The sequence below is a fragment of the Homo sapiens genome, chromosome 8 (assembly GCF_000001405.40).
Source record: "Homo sapiens chromosome 8, GRCh38.p14 Primary Assembly".
In the NCBI taxonomy this organism is placed as follows: domain Eukaryota; kingdom Metazoa; phylum Chordata; class Mammalia; order Primates; family Hominidae; genus Homo; species Homo sapiens.
Window position 1 is genome coordinate 11,890,640 of NC_000008.11, and position 19,438 is coordinate 11,910,077.

Here is a 19,438-nt window from a genome sequence, read left to right on the forward strand (position 1 = left end):
TCTTGTATACTGTTTGGTTAATAAATGCCCTTCTGGGAGACAGGCCTCACAACATCCACAAAAGCTGGGCTGCTTTCTGGGGCAGAAAGAGCTTAATGAAGATTAATATCTTTGTGTTGAGTGAACTCTGAGATGGCTCCCTGTGGTCCCTGACTCCTGGTGTTCTCACCCTTGTGTAATGTCCCCAATTGTGTGCAGGCAGGACCTTCGATTTGGTTTTAACAAACAGAGAAGAGCAAAGATGATAGGATGTCACCTCTGTAAATATAAGATGACGACTTGTGTCTTGGTGGCAGACTCTCTCCTTTATAAGCTTTCATAAAGCAAGTTGCTTGATTGGGGAGGCCCACAAGGCAAGAAACACAGGGTGCCTTCTGGGAAAAAACACCTAGGAATCAAGGCCCTTTGTTCAACTGCCTAAAAGCAATTGAGTCATGTCAACGACCAAAAAGTGAGCTTGGAAGCAGATTCTCCCCAGTTGGGCCTTTCGATAAGACTCAACCTTGCCTGACACCTTGAGTGTGGTCTTGTGAGAGACCATAAAATGGAGGAACCAGCTGAGCTGTGTCCAGATTCCTGACCTACAGAAACTGTGAGAAAACGTGTGTGTGTGTGTGTGTGTGTGTGTGTGTGTGTGTGTGTGTGAGCCAGAATCTTGCTTTGTCACCCAGGCTGGAATGCAGTGGCATGATCATAGCTCACTGCATCCTTGAACTCCTGGGCTCAAGTGATCCTCCTGCCTTAGCCTTCTGAGTAGCTAGGATGGCAGGCACACATCACCATGACCAGCTAATTTAACAACTTTTATTTTTTGGTAGAGATGGTATCTCACTATGTTGCTGAGGCTGGTCTCAAACTGCTGGGCTCAAGTGATCCTCATACCTCAGCCTCCCAAAGTATTGGGATTACAAGTGTAAGCCACTTCACCCTGCCGATGTGTGTTGTTTTAGGTGCCAAATTTATGCTCCTTTGTCACTCAGCAGTAAATAGCTAAGACAATCCTAAACAAGGTTTTTGAGATGGTAGAATAAAGACTCTCTGGGGTCCAATTAGTATTGGCCTGAGGCAGATTCCCTGAACAGAAAAGGAAGTGACCAGTAAATCTGAGTCATCTGGGATGAGGCCCCTTGTTACTAAACCCTCAGATTCCTTCCTGATGAAATGAGAAGTTTGGATAGCTCTCCAAGATCCCCTCCCCTCCCCTCTCCTCTCCTCCCCTCCCCTCCTCTCCTCTCCTCTGTATTTTATTTTCTTTTGAGACAGAGTCTCACACTGTTGCCTAGACTGGAGTGCAATGGCGAGATCTCAGTTCACTGCAACCTCCACCTCCTGGGTTCATGCAATTCTCCTGCCTCATCCTCTCGAGTAGCTGTGGTTATAGGCGCACACTACCACACTCGGCTAATTTTTTTTTTTTTTGTAGTTTTAGTAGAAATGGGGTTTCACTATGTTGGCCATACTGGTCTCAAATTCCTGACCTCGTGATCAGCCCTCCTCGGCCTCCCAAAGTGCTGGGATTACAGGCATGAGCCACCGCGCCCAGCCTTTGTTTGCTTTTCTCTCTTTTTTCTTTTTTGAGACGAACTCTTGCTCTGTCGCCCAGGCTGTGGAGTGCAGTGGAGCAACCTTGGCTCACTGCAACCTTTGCCTCCCAGGTTCAGGTGATTCTCCTCCCTCAGCCTCCCAAGTAGCTGGGACCACAGGAGGGGACACGCCACCGCACCAGGCTAATTTTTGTATTTTTAGTAGAGACGGAGTTTTGCCATGTTAGCCAGGCTGGTCTCAAACTTCTGACTTCAGGTGATCCACCCACCTTGGCCTCCCAAAGTGCTGGGATTACAGGCATGAGCCACCACGCCTGGCCACTTTCTTTCTTTTTATTTTTGTGTATTTGTTGTATGTTTTTAGGTTTGAGGTTACTGTAAGGGTTGCAAATATCTTGTAAACAATTATTTTAAATTGATGACAGCATTGATTGCATAAACAAAAACCAAACTACCAAACAAGCAAAAAGAAAACTAATAAAAATTCTACACTTTAACTTGCTCTCCCCACGTATTAACTTATTTATTTATTTTTTTTGAGACAGACTCTCACTCTGTCACCTAGGCTGGAGTGCAGTGGCACTATCTTAGCTCACTGCAACCTCTGTCCCCCAGGTTCAAGCAATTCTCCTGGCTCAGCCTCTCTAGTAGCTGGGATTAAGGTGTGTGCTAATTTTTAAATTATCATGCCTGGCTAATTTTTGTATTTTTAGTAGAGACAGGGTTTCACCATGTTGGCCAGGTTGGTCTTGAACACCTGACCTCAGGTGATCCACCTGCCTCCCCCTCCCAAAGTACTGGGATTACAGTAATGAGCCACCACATCTGGCCCACTGTTTCTATTGATAACTTATTGTACTGTCTATGAGTTGAAAAGTCATGGTAGTGATTATTTTTGATTGGTTCATCTTTTAGTCTTCTTCCTTAAGACATGAGTAGTTTACACACGACAATTATGGTGTTATAATATTTTCTGTTTTTCTGTGTACTTACCAGTGAGTTTTGCACCTTCATATGATTTCCTATTATTCATTGATGTCCTTTTCTTTCAGATTGAAGAACTTCCTTTAGCTTTTTTTTTTTTTTTTTTTTTTGTGTGTGAGATGGAGTCTCACTCTGTCACCCAGGATGCAGTGCAGTGGCACAATCTTGACTCACTGCAACCTCCATTTTCCGGGTTCAAGTGATTCTCATGTTCCAGTCTCCCGAGTACCCAGGATTACAGACGTACGCCAACACGCTCGACTAATTTTTATATTTTTAGTAGAGATGGTGTTTCGCCACGTTGACCGGGCTGATCTTGAACTCCTAGCCTCAAGTGACCCGCTTGCCTCAGTCTCCTAAAGTGCTGGAATTACAGGCATGAGCCACGACCCCGGCCCTTAGCATTTCTTGGAGGACAGGTCTAGAGTCGATGAAATCCCGCAGCATTTGTTTGTCAGGGAAGTTTTTCTCCTTCATGTTGGAAGGATATTTTTGCTAGATAAACTATTCTAGGTAAAAGTTTCTTTCCTCAGCACTTTAAATATGTCATACTATTCTCTCCTGGCCTTTCCACTGAAAAGTCTGTTGCCAGATGGATTGGAGCTCCATTGGATGTCATTTGTTTCTTTTCTCTTGCTGATTTTAGGATCCTTTCTTTATCCTTGATCTTTGGGAGTTTGATTATTAAATACCTTGAGGTAGTCTTCTTTGGGTTAAATCTGATTGGTGTTCAATAACCTTCTTGTACTTTAAAATTGATACCTTTCTCTAGGTTTGGGAAGTTCTCTGTTATTATTTTATTGAATAAACTTTCTACCCAATCTCTCTCTATTTTCTCTTTAAGAACAATTACTTGGATTTGCCCTTTTGAGGCTAATTTCTAGGTCTTATAGGCATGCTTTGTTGTTTTTTATTCTCTCTTTTTTTTGTCTTCTCTGACTGTGTATTTTCAAGTAGTCTATCTTCAAGCTCACTCATTCTTTCTTCTGCTGGATCAAGCCTGGAATCGAGGGCCTTAAGGGCCCTTTTGGTGCTCTTCCTCACTGCGGCTGAGCTGGCACCTAAGCTCATCACAAAGTGCTCTTTCCTCTTCCCTCTCTCTTTCTCAAGCAGAAGGACTCTCTCCTCGTAGCCACCAGAACTGTGAATGTGCTTCTGGTCACACCTGAAGCCAGCACGTCTCAGAGTCTCACTCAAGGCCAACTGCCTGTACTACTTGGTTACTGCTGCTGATTATTCAGGGTCCAAGGGCTCTTTAGTCAGCAAGTGATTAATTCTTCCAGGACTGAGCTCTTCTCTCCAGGTCAGTGGGTTCCCTTCTGGCCCAGGGTGTGTCTAGAAATGTCATCCAGGAGATAGGGCCTGGAATGGAGCCCTCAAGACTGTGACTAGTGTCCTATCCTACTGTGGCTGAGCTGGTATCCAAGTTGCAAGACAAAGTCCTCTTTAGTTTTCCTTCTCTTCTCCTATGCATCAGGAAGGGGTCTGTTTTGGAGCTGTGAGCTGTGCTGCCTGGGATTGTGGGAGGGGTGCTGCAAGCACTCCCTTAGGCACCCTGGGTGGTGTCTTATTAGCTCATGTGCCCCTCAATGTCCACTGGCTCTGAGCCCACCACAGCACCAGGACTTGCCTAGGATTTGCAGTCCTTGTGGCCTAAACATCTTTCAAGTTTATTTAGAGCCCCACTGCACTTTAGCCCATGGTGGTGAGGCTTGCCAAAACTCAAGTTCCAACCTCTGGGATGGGTTGGAATCTATCCTTCTGGCTAGGACTGGTCTACATGCTCCCTCCAGGGCCACTGGCTGAGTTCTGCCCTATGTCAGTAGCTCTGAATTCCAATTCAAGTTCCCGCGATTGCTGTGCTCTCCTTCTCCCAAGCACACAGATTCTCTCTTCATGTCACGCAGCCAGCCACTGCCAGGGGATGTTGAGGGGTCGGGGGAGGTGATCGCCAATTTAAGATTGTCTTTCCCACACTCTTCAGTGACTCTTTCAGCGATATGAAGTTAAAACCAAGTACTGTCATTACTCTCCTGATTTTTGGTTCTTATGGAGGTAATTTTGTGTGTGGATAGTTGTTAAATTTGGTGTTCCTGTATGGAGTATGATCAGTGGGGGCTTCTATTTGGCCATCTTGCTCCACTTCTATTTAATTTTTATTTTTTGTAGAGACAGTGTCTCACCATGTTGCCCAGGCTGGTCTCGAACTCCCAGAGTGCTGGGATTACAGACATAAGCCACCATGACCTGCCTCCATCTCTATTTAAAAAATTTTTTTGCATCAACTTTGGACAAGAATTTTTAAAGAAAAACATTTTTAAATTAAAATTTAAAAAATTTAAAAGCTCTGCTCGCAGAAGCACACAAAAAATTTTAATGTGCTGATTATTTCACTTCTGTGGAAAAATATGATAGGAAAATTGAATAAAAGAAATTTAGATTAACATTTTTGGGGGAACCATTTTATTTTTGTGTACATATTTCCTTAAAATCAGTGAATTTCTAGGCCAGCTTCAGGTAACTGAAGGGCCTTTATAAGTGGTTTATATTTTCTATATCTTTATAAGTGGCTTATGTTTTTATAAGTGGTCTATATCTTTATAAGTGGTTTATATTTTCTATATCTTTATATTTTCTATATCTTTATAAGTGGTTTATATTTTCTATATTGTGTTTGCAATGTTTACTGCAAACACAGTCTGAAGCAAAATGGGAAATAACATATTTCTGGAGATGAGCATAGACATTCTAATCCAGTAAACTGTTTTCTTTCCCAGGTAGCAGGGTTGAGTCATGCCTGACTGCTAGGCCACCATTCATAGGTATAGCCTATAAAACCGGTACAGACCACCCAAAAGAAGGCCAGCCAATGCATGCCGTTTGATGGTACAGGTTTCAAAATTCAAATCACCTGCCTGCAAAAATAAACTCACAAACCCCTTGTGAGATGCATGCTGTCCAAAGGGGGATCACTGGCTGGGCACGGTGGCTCACGCCTGTAATCCCAGCACTTTGGGAGGCCGAGGCGTGTGGATCACCTGAGGTCAGGAGTTCAAGACCAGCCTGGCCAATATGGTGAAACCCCGTCTCTACTAATAAACAAAAATTAGCTGATCATGGCCGGGCACGGTGGCTCACACCTGTAATCCCAGCGCTTTCGGAGGCCGAGGTGGATCACAAGGTCAGGGGTTCGAGACCAGCCTGACCAACATGGTGAAACCCCATCTCTACTAAAAATACAAAAATTATATGGACATGGTGGCAGGCACCTGTAATCCCAGCTACTCAGGAGGCTGAGGCAGGAGAATTGCTTGAACCTGGGAGGCGGAGGTTGCAGTGAGTCGAGATTGCGCCACTACACTCCAGCCTGGGTGACAGAGCGAGACTCCATCTCAAAAAAAAAAAAAAAAATTAGCCGATTATGGTGGTGGGTGCCTGTAATCCCAGCTAGTCAGGAGGCTGAGGCAGAATTGCTTGAACACGGAGGCGGAGGTTGCAGTGAGCCGAGAATGCGCCATTGCATTCCAGCCTGGGCGAAAGAGTGAAACTTTGTCTCAAAAAAAAAAAAAAAAAAGGGTAGGGGGGCTCACTGACATTGGTATGAAGCCATGAAGGGCAGTGTTCAGTCCAATATATGTCGATCCCATGCTCACACAGATCCCTTTCTGCTTGTGGAAGTTGGTTAATTTTTCTGGTTATGATACTGAATGTTGCTACATTTTCCTTGATAGTATAGTATCATCTGGTTGATGATTTTGCATCTTAGCATTATACTCCCCTTCTCCCAGCAGCCAGTGCCTCTCCAGTCTTCCTCAGCCACACCGGGGCTCACTGCAACCTCCGCTCAGCTGGCCCAGATGCAGCCATCTTTCAAGAAATCCAGATCTTGAGGCAAAATTTCAGAGAGCAAAACTTTCACAGGGACTTTCAGGCATAATTTGACCAGGTCATTCGACCAGGTTGTTTTTCTTTCTCTTTCTGTCCCCCTATCTGCGTGGTTCTTGGCCTGCTGTCAGGGCATGATTTAAGAGGGTTGTTTGCTTACCTTGAGTGGACGCCCCCACAGGCCAGTTCCCTCCCCAGAAGGACTTGAGGGCAGGGTGCAGGGGGGCGGGGGGAGCTGCCGAACCATGGATGTCAGACCTGTCCACGCACAGGCAAAGAGAGGGCACAAACTTGACAACACAGCGAAACTCCACTTGTTTCTTCACAAGTCTTTAGAAAGGAGCTTTCATTTCTGTAGTTTTGCTTCCTCTCTGAATCTTTGGCCTGCACAGTGACCTCAGTGTCTCCTGACCACGGAATCACATGCCCGTATCTACTTTGGAGTTTGAGCTTTTCAAAACTGCAACTCTTTGCCAATAGCTGGTTTGTGGGCCTGGTGTCAGCAGTGGGGAACAGTCTTCCTGCCACTTTCCATTCATGTCTACGTGACTCCAACCTAAAATAGATTTTTGGGGGAGCCCTTGATTGTAACCTTCAACAAAGGAAGTCATGCTAGGCAGATTCTCCTGAGACAGGTCCTTACGTGCTAGTAAGAGCCTTTGGTGAGTACTTTAGGATTTACAAAGCCTCTCCAAAGACAGACTTTGATTTGATCCCCACAGCAATCTCATGGGAGGTGTTTCAAGTCCATTTTACAGATGAGAAAATCTGCCACTGAGTGGGAGAATGGTGGGGTGGGAAGCGTGGTTGAAGAAGAGAAACAGCATTTATTACCTTTCTGGGCCTAACACTGCGCTGTTCGCTTTATATATGTTTGATCCTTTAACACACTTGTGAAGCCAGTAGTATTTTCACACTATTGTCTTTTTTAGGTGAGTTCACTGAGGCTCAGACAGGCACAGCAGTAAGTGGAAGCACAGGAACTGAAACACATCTCTGCTATCTCATGGTTTGTGCTTTTGCCCATCACTGCTTATCCCAGTTATCTTTTGCTGAGAAGCAGTTTACTTCCAAACTTAGTGGTTTAAGACAACAGTCATTTATGATCTCATGGTTTCTGTGATTCAGGATCTGGGAGTGGTGTAGCTGGGCTGTTCTGACCTAGGGTCTCTCATGGAATCTCTGTAAGGGGTCTGCTGGGGGCTGCTGTCATCTGAAGGCTTGATGAGGCTGCTGCTTCTGTTTCTGAGGTGGCTCACTTGCATGGCCAGCAAGTTGGTGCTGGCTCTTGCCAGGAGGCCTCCGTTTCTCCTCATTTGAGCTGCTTGAGCACCTTCTCCACGTGGTGCTGGCTTCTCCCTGAGCGAGTGACACAAAAGAGAGCAAGGCAAAAGCTGCAGTGTCTTTTAGGACCTTGTCTTGGATGCCACACGGTCATTTCTGCAATATCCCAGTGGCTACACAGTCCGGCCCTGTGCAGTACAGGAGGATCAGCAGAAGTTGAGGTCGCTGGGCAGGACCAAGGTCCAGAGAGGAAGCACAGGGGTATGACTCCCAGGAGCAGGGATTGCCGGAGCTGTCTTGAGCTCCAAGTACAACACTGCTCATCTTGCCAGCGAACGTGGATGTCGGTGTTGGCTGCTGAAAAACAGTCAATACAGGAACAGCATTTTCTTTTTTTTTTTTTTTTTTGAGACGGAGTTGCGCTCTTGTTGCCCAAGCTGGAGTGCAGTGGCACAATCTCAGCTCACTGTAACCTCCTCCTCCCGGGTTCAAACGTTTCTCCTACCTCAGCCTCCTGAGTAGCTGGGATTACAGGTGGGGTTTCACCATTTTGTCCAGGCTGGTCTTGATCTCCTGACCTCAAGTGATCTGCCCACCTTGGCCTCCCAGAGTGCTGGGATTACAGGCATGAGCTACTGTGCCCGGCTGCTCTGATGTATTTTTATTATTAATTTTTTTTGAGACAGGGTCTCACTCTGTCGCCCAGGCTGGAATGCAATGGCATAATCACAGCTCGACTTCCTGGGCTCAGGTGGTCCGTCCGCCTCAGCCTCCTGTGTAGCTGGGACTACAGGTGCATGCCACCATGCCCTGCTAATTTTTGTATTTTTTTTTTGTAGAGATGATGTCTCACCGTGTTGCCCAGGCTGGTCTTGAACTCCTGGGTTCAAGTGATCTGCCTGCCTCAGCCTCCTGAAGCCTCTGATGTATTTTTAAACAACTATATGCAATCTGTCTCTATGCCCACGTTTGCCCCAGGCAGCCACTGATATTGTCTGTTCCCCTTAATTTTCTTTTCTTTTTTTTTTTGACATGGAGTCTTGCTCTGTCACCCAGGCTGTAGTGCAGTAGCACGATCTTGGCTCACTACAACCTCCGCCTCCCAGGTTCAAGTGATTCTCCTGTCTCAGCCTCCTGAGTAGCTGGGACTAAAGGCATGTGCCAGCAAGCCCAGCTAATTTATATATATATATATATATATATATATATATATATTTTTTTTTTTTTAAGTAAAGATGCAGTTTCCCCATGTTGACCAAGCTTGTCTTGAACACCTGACCTCAGGAGATCTGCCTGCCTCGGCCTCCCACAGTGCTGGGATTATAGGCATGAGCCACCATGCCTGGCCCCCATTAGTTTTCATTTCTAGGCATTTTGAATAAATGGAACCACACAGAACATTATCTTTCATGTCTGGCTTCTTTCATTCAACAGAATGATTTTGACAATCATCCATCTGTTACGAGTATCAGTGGTTTGTCTTTTTTAAAAATTAAAAAAATACTAACGGCTTTCATGAGGTATAACTGATGTACAGCAAACTGCATGTGTTTAAAGTGTACACTTTGATAAGTTTTGTTTTGTTTTGGAGACAGGGTTTTGCTGTGTCGCCCATGCTGAAGAGCGATGGCGTGATCATGGCACACTCCAACTTTTAACTCTTTGACTCAAGTGATCCTCCTATTTCACCCTCCTGAGTAGCTGGGAGTAGAAGTACACACCACCATACCTGGATAATTTTTTATTTTTTTGTAGAGGTGGGGTTTTGCTGTGTTGCCCAGGCTGGCCTCAAGTGGTCCTCCTGCCTTAGCCCCCCAGAGTGTTGGGATTAAAGGCATGAGCTACCATGCCCTGCCAATAACATTACACTCATGAATATACATTCTGAGCCATCCCTACAACCAAGACAATGAAAACACTCATCACCTCCCAGAATTTTCTGGTGGCCATTTATCATCCCTCCCTCCTGCTCCTTCCACCTCTATCTCTAGGCAACCACTGATTCTGCTCTCACTTGGGATTCATTTGCATTTTCTAGAATTATATATCAATGAGATCACATAGTATGCTTTTTTTTTTCCCAGGGGGTCTGGGTTCTTATTTGGAGATTCCTTTATACAGGGGCCTGTATCAACACTTCATTCTTTTTCATTGTTGAGTAGTATTCCATCAAATAGATAGACTTCAATTTGTTTATCTCCTTACCTGTTGACAGAAGTTTGAGTTTCCATTTCTTGGCCATTATAAGGAAAATCACAGTGGCCATTCTACTGCAACTCTTGTGTTTTCATTTCTCTTGGGTAAATATCTAAAAGTGAAACCACTGGATCATATGTAGCTACATGCTTAACTTTTAAAGAAATGATCAAACTGTGTTGAAGTGGTTGTACTACTTTATACTTCCACCAGCAGCGATGAGAGTTCCAGTTGTTCCACATTCTCAGCGACAATCAGTGTGGTCAGTCTTTTTAATGTAACTGCTCTCGTGAGTGTGCGGTAGGATCTCATTGTAGCTTTAATTTGCATTTCCCTGATGATTAGTGACATTGAGCATCTTTTCGTGTGCTCAGTAACCATTCATACATCTTTTGTGAGATGTTTGTTCAAGCCTTTTTTGAAATAGGGCCATTTGTCTACTTCTACATGAGTGAAATGAGAAATATAAAGGGTGTTATAAACAAGACAGTTATTCAGTGGTCCCTGTCCAGTTTTGCTCCTGACTTCTGCAGCTTGCTGCCGCCATTGTGGCTAGAAATCTGTTGGTGGAGGTGGAGGGCAATTGTGACGACCTGGGGCAAATGCAGCAAACAAAGTCATATGGCAGAGGTGGAGAGGGTAGAGAAGAGGGAGAGGCAAGGTCAAGGTTATGGCATCATAACCTCTGAAATGGGGCCCTTGTGATGGGGGAGGTCACTGAGTTTGGGTTCCCCCAGAAATCCTTTGGCCCCAGTACCCAAATGGCTCCAGGTTGAGTATCCCTCAAGCTGATGACTTATAAATTACCAGGAAATTTGGCTGCAGAGTGAAAACACCAAAGTTGAATCCCATCTATGTTAATGTCCATGTAAAGTAGGAGCAGCCAGGAGTGTGTGCTTCATGGTCTTTGCTCTGCTGTTCCTGGGCACTGGATGAGATGTCTTTTTCCAATAATGATGATTAAGATGGTGATATTAATAATTCTTTATCTTCATTGAGCATGTAATAATTTTAAAAGTCTTTTCTGCCTACCAGACTTCTTCCCTCCCAGCTGAGCAGGGCACTGGCCAGTGTTCCCACTTCACAGTTAAACTGAGCCAGGTCCTGAGAGGCTGGGAGGAAGAGTCAGGCTCAGTTCATGGCCTTGACTCTCTCCTCAGTCCAGAGACCCACGTTGAGCCATTCCCAGCGCTGTCTCCTGCATTTTATAGTAGCGACCTCCCACAATTTCCCAGCTCTGAAATCAAAGTTCAAGGCTGTCTGCTTTTTTTCTCTACTGGAGTCCTGTTGGTGACAGTTTGGACCCACCAATACCCTGTTGATCCCCCTGAGCCCTGCCTTTTTGTTTACTGCACAAATATGCACTGTTCAGAAAACAAACAACAAAAAGGGAAGCAATTCTGTTTACTAGACTTTTTGTTTGTTTGTTTGAGACAGGGTCTCTCTTTGTCGCCCAGGCTTGAAAGCAGTGCTGTGGTCATGCCTTTTTGCAACCTCTTTCTCCCATGCTGAAGCCATCCTCCCACCTGAGCCTCGGGAGTAGCTAGGACTACATATGCCTGCTACCATGCCTGGCTAATTTTTTTCATGTTTTGTCGAGATGAGTCTCTTTAGATTGCCCCGCGTGGCTTGCTGGATATTTGAGCCAAGGAAACTTGAGTGGATCTCATAACCTCAAGGGACCACATGTCCTTGAATGATGGACAGCCACCATTTCTGTCCTATCTACCTTATGTGGGTTTGACAGGCCTCTCCAGGCCTGGATCTGAGTCTAATGCAGGGCTTAAGTGATGCAGGCCTCTGGGCCACTGTAAGTCACCACGGAGCGTTTCTCCACCGAGCTCCAGCGGCTGCGGGGCCCGGCGCCGCCCTCGATTAATGCTGGCAGCGCCACCAAGCGGGCAGCTGGGAAACAGCGGCCACCTCATTCCAAGGAAGCGGGGAGGCGGAGAGAGTGGGGAGGGCCCCGCTTTGGTCGCGATCCGGTGGACACCATCCCGGCGGGGAGGAGCCTTCCCACGAGGACAGATGGCGACACACACGCCTGTTGGAGCATCCTGAGGCCCGCCTCTGTGGCTTCTGTTGTGACGCAAGCGTTCCCTCCGCGAGTAGGGTCTGTGGCCGGGGCTGTGTCTGCGGGACTGGGAAGCTCTCCCGTGAGGTATGTCTCGGGACCTTCCTGTCTGTGACTGGAGGGCATCTGCGGGCAGATGGGGCACCTGCACCTCCATCTCCGCTGCCCCTGCCCTGCCCTTCTACCCAGGCCTTGCAGTCACCAGAGATGGGATCCAGGCTCAGCTCGGCCACGTCTGAGCTTCTTGCCATCTGGGAAACGGGGTGCAGAGAGACATCCCCGGTTGAAAGCTAAACCTTCTTGCTGCAAGCCATGCCAGGGAGGTAGGTCAGAGGCCAAAAGCCTTTGCCTGAAATTTACGGCCCCGCAGTTGGGCCTTAGTCTCCTCTTCCAGTTTTATTTATTTATTTTTTTTAGAGACAAGTCTCACTCTGTCACCCAGGCTGGAGTGCAGTGGGGCGATTATAACTCACTGCAACCTCGAACTCCTGAGCTCAAGTGATCCACCTCAACCTCTGGCGAAGCTGGGACAAGCCAGTGCCACCTGCCCAGCCAAGTTTTGAATTTTTGCAGAGACGAAGGTCTCACTATATTGTCCAGGCTGGTCTCAAATTCCTGCCTCAAGTGATCCTCCTGCTTTGGCCTCCTGAAGTACTGGGATTACAGTCGTGAGCCACCAAGACTGGCCTCCTCTTCTACCCTCAACTCCAGCTACTTTTTTATTTTTGAGATGGAGTCTTGCTTTGTTACCCAGGCTGGAGTGCAGTGGCACGATCTCGGCTCACTGCAACCTCTCTCCTGGGTTCAAGAGATTCTTCTGCCTCAGCCTCCCAAGTAACTGGGACTACAGGCACACACCACCGTGCCTGGCTAATTTTTGTATTTTTAGTAGTGATGGGGTTTCACCATATTGGCCAGGCTGGTCCCGAACTCCTGACCTCACGATCCACCCGCCTTGGCCTCCCAAAGTGCTAGGATTACAGGTGTGAGCCACTGCGCCTGGCCGACTCCATCTACTTTTTACTCAGCCAGAGGGGCTCACTGTCCCTCTGAAATATCTCCACGGTTTCCCACCTCCACACCATCCGTGGTGCCTGGAAGGCATCTCCCCCAGCCCTCCTGAGATCCACACAAATGTTCATATTGGATGTGTAGATGTGGGGTATTATTATCTTAATGTTTTCTAATTATATGTGCTCTTCTATACACAAAAAGTGTAAAGAAAAAGTATCACCCACTTTCCTGAATTATTCCACTATTCTGATTTAACTATTTTATGTATATATACTTGTAGAGACAGGGTCTGGCCATATTGGCCAGGCTGGTCTTGAACTGCTGGCCTCAAACAATCTGCCTTCCTTGGCCTCCCAAAGTGCTGGGATTCCCGTCATGAGCCACTGCGCTGTGCCCCTATTATTAATTTTTAATTAATGTATTACTTAGACTTAAAAACATTTTTCTGTGCAAATACATATATGTATTTTACATACATGGACTACGTGTACTAACCACCTTTTAGTGTGGAGAAGTTACGCCTCTGCAGCCGGTTACTGAGCTTCTCGAAAGCGGAAGCTCCTACCCATCCGTCAAAGTGCAGCCCATGTCACTCCGCCCTGGAGGTCTCTGTGACTCAGACAGGCAGCGTTTACTGTCCTCTCACCTGGTTGTCGATGATACCTTGACCACACTTTAATTTCGGTACTTATTGTCTTATATTTGGCTATTGGTTTATGCATCTGAACTCTCCACTTGATTGGTACACATGGCACCCTCAGGCGTAGCTAATTTTTTACTTTTTCTAGAGATGGGGTTTAGCTGTGCTGCCCAGGCTGGTCTTGAACTCCTGAACTCAAGCAATCTGCCTGCCTCGGCCACCCGAAGTGCTGGGATTACAAGCATGAGCCACCGTGCCTGGGTGCTGCTATCTTCTAAATGAGCAGAATGCATAGATTCCTCTCTAGGGTTTGCAGATTTGAAAAGATGGGGTTTTGCACCATGCACCTAACATTCTTCTTGCCAGAAGCGCTCTGCAGAACAAAGGAGTTTTATGAAGACTAGGTGCCTCTAGCCTATCTTCTATCCTGGAACCTCAAACCTGGTAATCCATTATTTATTCAACAAATATTGATTGAGCACCTACTATGTGCCAGATACTAAGTTTAGAGAGTATAATAGTGAACAAAACAGAAATCCTTGCCTTCTATGGGACTTACATTTTACTGGAGGCATTCAGACAATAAACAAAGTAAATACTTAAAATATATAGTATGTTCGACGGTGTTGAGTGTTTGGGGAAAAATAAAGTGGAAGGGACAGTCCTATCCTTAGACCTGGGTAAGAGGGTCCCTTTCCCCAAGCTCCACCCTTCTCTAAGCCCCTCCAGGGCAAAGAGTCTGCCAGGACAAGGGGATGTGGCCCCTGGGAGCCCAAGATCCTTCTCTAGGTTTCACTCTGGTTATCCAAGACCTCAAGAGTTCCTGCTCAAATGGCACTGAACCCATGTTCGGGGCTTGTTTGTGTTCCCATAGGTCTGACCCTGAGAGAGTGGAATGTACCTGTAAGCCAAAAGTACAGTCAAGAGGTGACTGTTTCCTGGGGATGTAGCTGGGATGTTCACTTGTATGACTGAGGTGCAGGATGAAAATGGGTGTGGGAAGAGAAAGGGGGTAAACCATCATTTTTACTCTTTTTTTTTTTTTTTTTTTGACACAGAGTTTTGCTCTGTCACCCAGGCTGGAGTGCAGTGCGGTGATCTCGGCTCACTGCAACCTCCACCTCCCGGGTTAAAGCGATTCTCCTGCCTCAGCCTTTGGAGTAGCTGGGGTTACAGGCACATACCACCATGCCTTCTAATTTTTTGTATTTTTAGTAGAGATGGGGTTTCACCATGTTGTCCAGGCCGGTCTTGAACTCCTGACCTCAGGTGATCTGCCCACCTCGGCCTCCAAAGTGCTGGGATTACCGGCATGAGCCCCCATTCCCAGCCCATTTTTAATCTATTTCCAGGCTTTCCAAATGTTAGGGACAGGACTGGGAAGATAGATATGGAGACGGGGGGGTGGGGTGTCACTGCAATTTTAAGTAGAATGGGCAGGGAAGGTGACATTTTACTAAAGAAGAGGAGGAAAGGAGTGGTATGTGTAGATATAACTGAAAGTGCCCTCCAGGCAGAGGAAAAGTGAGTACGAAGGTGTGGAGGCAGCAGTGTGCCTGGGATGCCCAGGAAAAATAAACCTGGGTACTCGCCAGGTGCCATGGCCCAGGGGGACCTGCCAGATTTGTGCTTGTGCAAAACCTAAAAAAAATAGGCCCTTGAAGCCAGGCTCGGTGGCTCACTCCTGTAATCCCAGCATTTTGGGAGGCCGAGGCAGGCAGATCACAAGGTCAGGAGATCGAGACCATCGTGTCTAACATGATGAAACCCCGTCTCTAGTAAAAATACAAAAAAATTAGCCAGGCATGGTGGTGGGCACCTGTGGTCCTAGCTACTCAGGAGGCTGAGGGAGGAGAATGGCATGAACCCAGGAGGTGGAGCTTGCAGTGAGCGGAGATGACGCCACTGCCGTCCATCCTGGGTGACAGAGCAAGATTCCGTCTCAAAAATAAAAAAATAAAAAAAAAATAAGACCTCGATCAATGTTGGATTGAATGAACGAATGGTCCCACCTCTTGGAGGAGCCACTCCCAACAGCACACAGCTGCCTCTTCTTCCCGGCTCTGTGCCAAGGGGTGTTTCAGCTTTGCTTTGATCCTGATGACCAGGCACTGCTATTCTTTAGGCCGGGATTTCCCCAAGCCTTGGTATTTTTAAAAATACGTTATAGTTCCCTTGAAACTCTCTCCTTATCACCTCCACCTTCCTGTTTTCATCTCCCACTCCTTGGCACCCTCTGTCTCCCCACGGTGTCCCCATGACGCTGCCTGCATGCCCATTGGCCCCAGCCTGGGAGCTTCTCAGAGACGCCCGGGCCAGACATGGCTGCAGATAGAGCCAAGAGGGTGGCCTCGGGTGGCTGGTGGCAGTCTCCTGGCTGTGGGGGCAGAAGTGGGGGCCTGGGAGGTGGCAGGCAGCTCAGGCCTAAGGAAGGATGGAGTCAGAGCTCAGAGATGTGACCGGAAAGGGCTCAGCCACGGGAAGGAGTTTGGGGATTTACCCACGTAAGTACTGAATTATTCGGCCAAAATTGAAACGTAAATAGGAACTGAGAGATGTAAACAGAATTTGGAAATCATTGTTGCCTTGATGGCACTTTTTGATCCTGACAAATTTAGACTTTCCTTTGACAGTCTCATGGATGACGCCAGACGGAAATAAATATTTAAGCCCATGAAAGTTGGGAAGTTGAATAGGAAATTTCCCCTACAAGAGGCTAGGATTGCAAAAGGTCACAACTCTAGAGTAAAGGTAAACCAGATATATACCAGTCCTTCTGGGGGATATCAGCTAAAGTTCTCATTGCCTGGGTGGACCAAGGAACATCAAACTTTGGACTTGGTTTAAGGTACCTCTGAACAGATGCTGCTTTTTGAGCCTCTGAGTCAGCATGCGAATTCCCCAAACCCATCAAGGTGGAAGCTCGCTCGTGTCCTCTGCAATGCCTAACTGCCACCTTGTGGGGTTTCCATACTGCTTCTAATCATTGCAAGATTTCTTGTGGATATTTTCTGTCTTTACCCTCAGAGTTCAATAGGCCCTTTTCTTTCTATCACGCTCCATGCACTTGAAGGGTTAAAAAGACATACCGGGAATCAGTGTAAATGTTGACAGTCTCACCCTCACTGAGTTCTAAGGCCCAATGAAAGCAATGAGTTCAGCTTTCTGGGCTGAAGTGGCCTGGGGCAACGATCCGGCTTCAACAACAGTGTCCAGAGTTATCACTGCATACCCTGCACCTCTCTCTCCTTGGGGGTTGAAGAAGCTGCTCCCATCCACGTATGGCTCCCAGTCTACTGATGCCCAAGCCTGGTCCCGGAGGTCAGGTCTGCTAGAGTCAATTGAGTCCAACATTTCTACACAATCAGGCTCGACAGGGCTCTCTGACACGGGGAGCAAGGTGGTGGGGTGTAGGGTGTTACAAACTTTACTGGTTATACGGGGATTTTCACAGAGCAAAGTTTGGTCCTTGGTGAGTCTAGCATTCGTTAGCCAATGATGTCCTTTAGTATCCATTAAAGTCACCACAGCATGGGGGGCCTTTATGTTCAGGTTTTGCCCAAGAGTCAGCTTATCTGCTTCTGGTACTAGCAGGGCAGTTGCTGCCAAGGCCCTCAAACACGGGGGCCATCCTTTAGAAACCCCGTCTAGTTGTTTAGAGAGGTAGGCCACCAGCCTCAGCCAGGGCCTCACAGTTTGGGTGAAAAGTCCAGCTGCCATCTTTTCTCTCTCTGACACATACAATGGAAAAGGCTTTGTCAGATCGGGTAGCCCCAGGGCTGGGGCTGACATAAGTTTTTCCTTTAGGTCATGAAAGGCTTGCCATTGTAGGGATCCCTATTCCAAAGGTTCCTGGTACCTGCCCACTTTGTGACCCCATACAAAGGCTTGGCTAATACTGCAAAGTTTGGGATCCACAGTCTACAAAACCCCACAGCTCCTAAGAATTCTCTCACCTCCCTTCTGCTCTTAGGCTTCGGTAGATTGCAAATGACCTGCTTTCTTTCTGATCCCAGGCTGTGTTCCCCCTGTCAGATAGTAAATCCCCAGTAATGTACCTGCTGTCAGCAGATCTGAGCTTTCTTCTTGGACACCTTCTACCCACAGTCCACCAGGTGCCGGTGTAGGGCATCTGTTCCCTTGGTGCACCTGACTGCCATGGGGTGTCCCAGCAAAAGGGCATCAATCTACTGGAGCCACATGCAGTCTACGTCTGTGGTGGGAAATTTCTGGAGGTCACGAGCCAACGCCTACCCGAAGATGATGGCAGAGTTCTTGAGCCCTTGGGGAAGCCGGGTGCAAGTGTACTGAGTAGTCACACCTGACTCTGGATCTTTCCGCTGAAAGGCAAACAGCTTCTGGCTCTCAGGGGCTAATCTGATATGAAAGAAAGCATCTTTCCGGTCCAAACAGGTGAACCAGCTGTCCTTAGCTGGCAGTAACCCCAACACTGTGGATGGGTTAGGTACTGTTGGATGTAAAGTCAGTGTAGCTTGAAGAAGTAAGCACAAATCCTGTACCGGCCTGTAGTCCTTGGTCCCTGGCTTGGGAACAGGCAGGAGGGGAGTGTTCCGTGGAGACTGACAAGGAACTCTAATTCCAAAAGTTTTTAGGTGATTGAGATGGACCTGGATACCTTGAAGAGCTTCTCTGGGGATCGGGTCCTGTTTTTGCGTAACCAGCTGGGCCCCAGGCTTCACTTCTATGAGTATGGGGGCTGGGTTGACTGCCAACCCTGGAGGGTTGTGTCCCACCCATACTCTTGGCCACCGCTTAAGCAGAGTTGGTCTTCTCTCTTGGCCCGGCTCAGTTAAGAAAAGTCTCCATTCCTCCTGTCGGGGGACAGTAAGGGTCATAATGGCTCCCATTCTGGGTAACTTTAGCAGCAAAGAGCTGTGCTCTGTAAAAGAGATAGTGGCTCTCAGCTTGCTAAGCAAGTCTCTTCCCAACAAGCGCAAGGGACAGTCAGGCGTGGACAAAAACTGCTGAATGACTTTAGGTCCTCCTACAGCACAAGTCCGAGGCAAGCAGAAAGCTTGCTTTGCTGAAATCCCCATGGCTCTGATGATGTCAATAGACTTTTTGGATAAGGGGGCGACTGGGGTGGTTACAAGCAAATGTTCAGCACCGGTATCTACAAGAAAATCAATGTCTCTACCCCCAACTGTCATTCTGACCAGCGAGTCTTTGGGGACACTTGAGCCCAGTCTCCCTCAGTCCAATAAACCTTCTGCCAGGTTGAGCAGGACCCCTTCCTCCTTGTCCAGGGCCTCCTGCTCTGAGTCACCTGGTTTTCTTTTCAGCTGAGGGCATTTGTTCTTCCAATGTCCTATTTCTTTACAATCAGCACACTGATTAAGCTGCAATCTCTGACAGCCAGGCTGAGTTTCTTTCCCGGGGCCCCCCTTCCCTTGCCTCTTTGGGGGGACCCCTCTGATTGCTGCAGCTAACAGGTCGGCGTTTTGCCGGACCTGACATTCATTCTCTCTGAGGTTTTCCTTATGACTTACTGTGTCCCTGTTTACAAACACCTGGTTAGCTATTTCTAATAACTGTGATGTGTTCATCCCTGCAAACCCAGCCTTTTTCTGCAGTTTTCTTCTCATGTCTTCTGCGCTTTAACTAACTAAAGCCATGTGAATCATGCATTGATTTTCAGGGCTATCGGGACCAAAGGGAGTATACATACAATAGGCCTCACACAGTCTCTCCTAGAATTGTGCTGGACTTTCTTCTTTTCCCTGAATGACCTCAGAGACCTTGTTAACGTTTGTTGGCCTTCTGGGCTCCCCTCTGTAATCCTTCCAAGAGAGCTTC

General features: G+C 47.1%; 3 annotated features.

The window, feature by feature from the left end:
* Window positions 486-669: a silencer, noted in NCBI's record as "fragment chr8:11748634-11748817 (GRCh37/hg19 assembly coordinates)". NCBI's record gives its function as "represses an EF-1alpha promoter that drives an FKBP-Casp9 reporter gene in an ReSE screen in phorbol 12-myristate 13-acetate-treated (for megakaryocytic differentiation) K562 erythroleukemia cells {active_cell/tissue: K562(+PMA)}" and the evidence as "EXISTENCE:reporter gene assay evidence [ECO:0000049][PMID:32094911]".
* Window positions 11,593-12,094: an enhancer, noted in NCBI's record as "H3K4me1 hESC enhancer chr8:11759741-11760242 (GRCh37/hg19 assembly coordinates)". NCBI's record gives its function as "activates a minimal SCP1, AML or CMV promoter by ChIP-STARR-seq in primed H9 embryonic stem cells {active_cell/tissue: H9 hESC(primed)}" and the evidence as "EXISTENCE:reporter gene assay evidence [ECO:0000049][PMID:30033119]".
* Window positions 11,828-12,067: an enhancer, noted in NCBI's record as "active region_27040". NCBI's record gives its function as "activates an Ori minimal core promoter by ATAC-STARR-seq in GM12878 lymphoblastoid cells {active_cell/tissue: GM12878}" and the evidence as "EXISTENCE:reporter gene assay evidence [ECO:0000049][PMID:35858748]".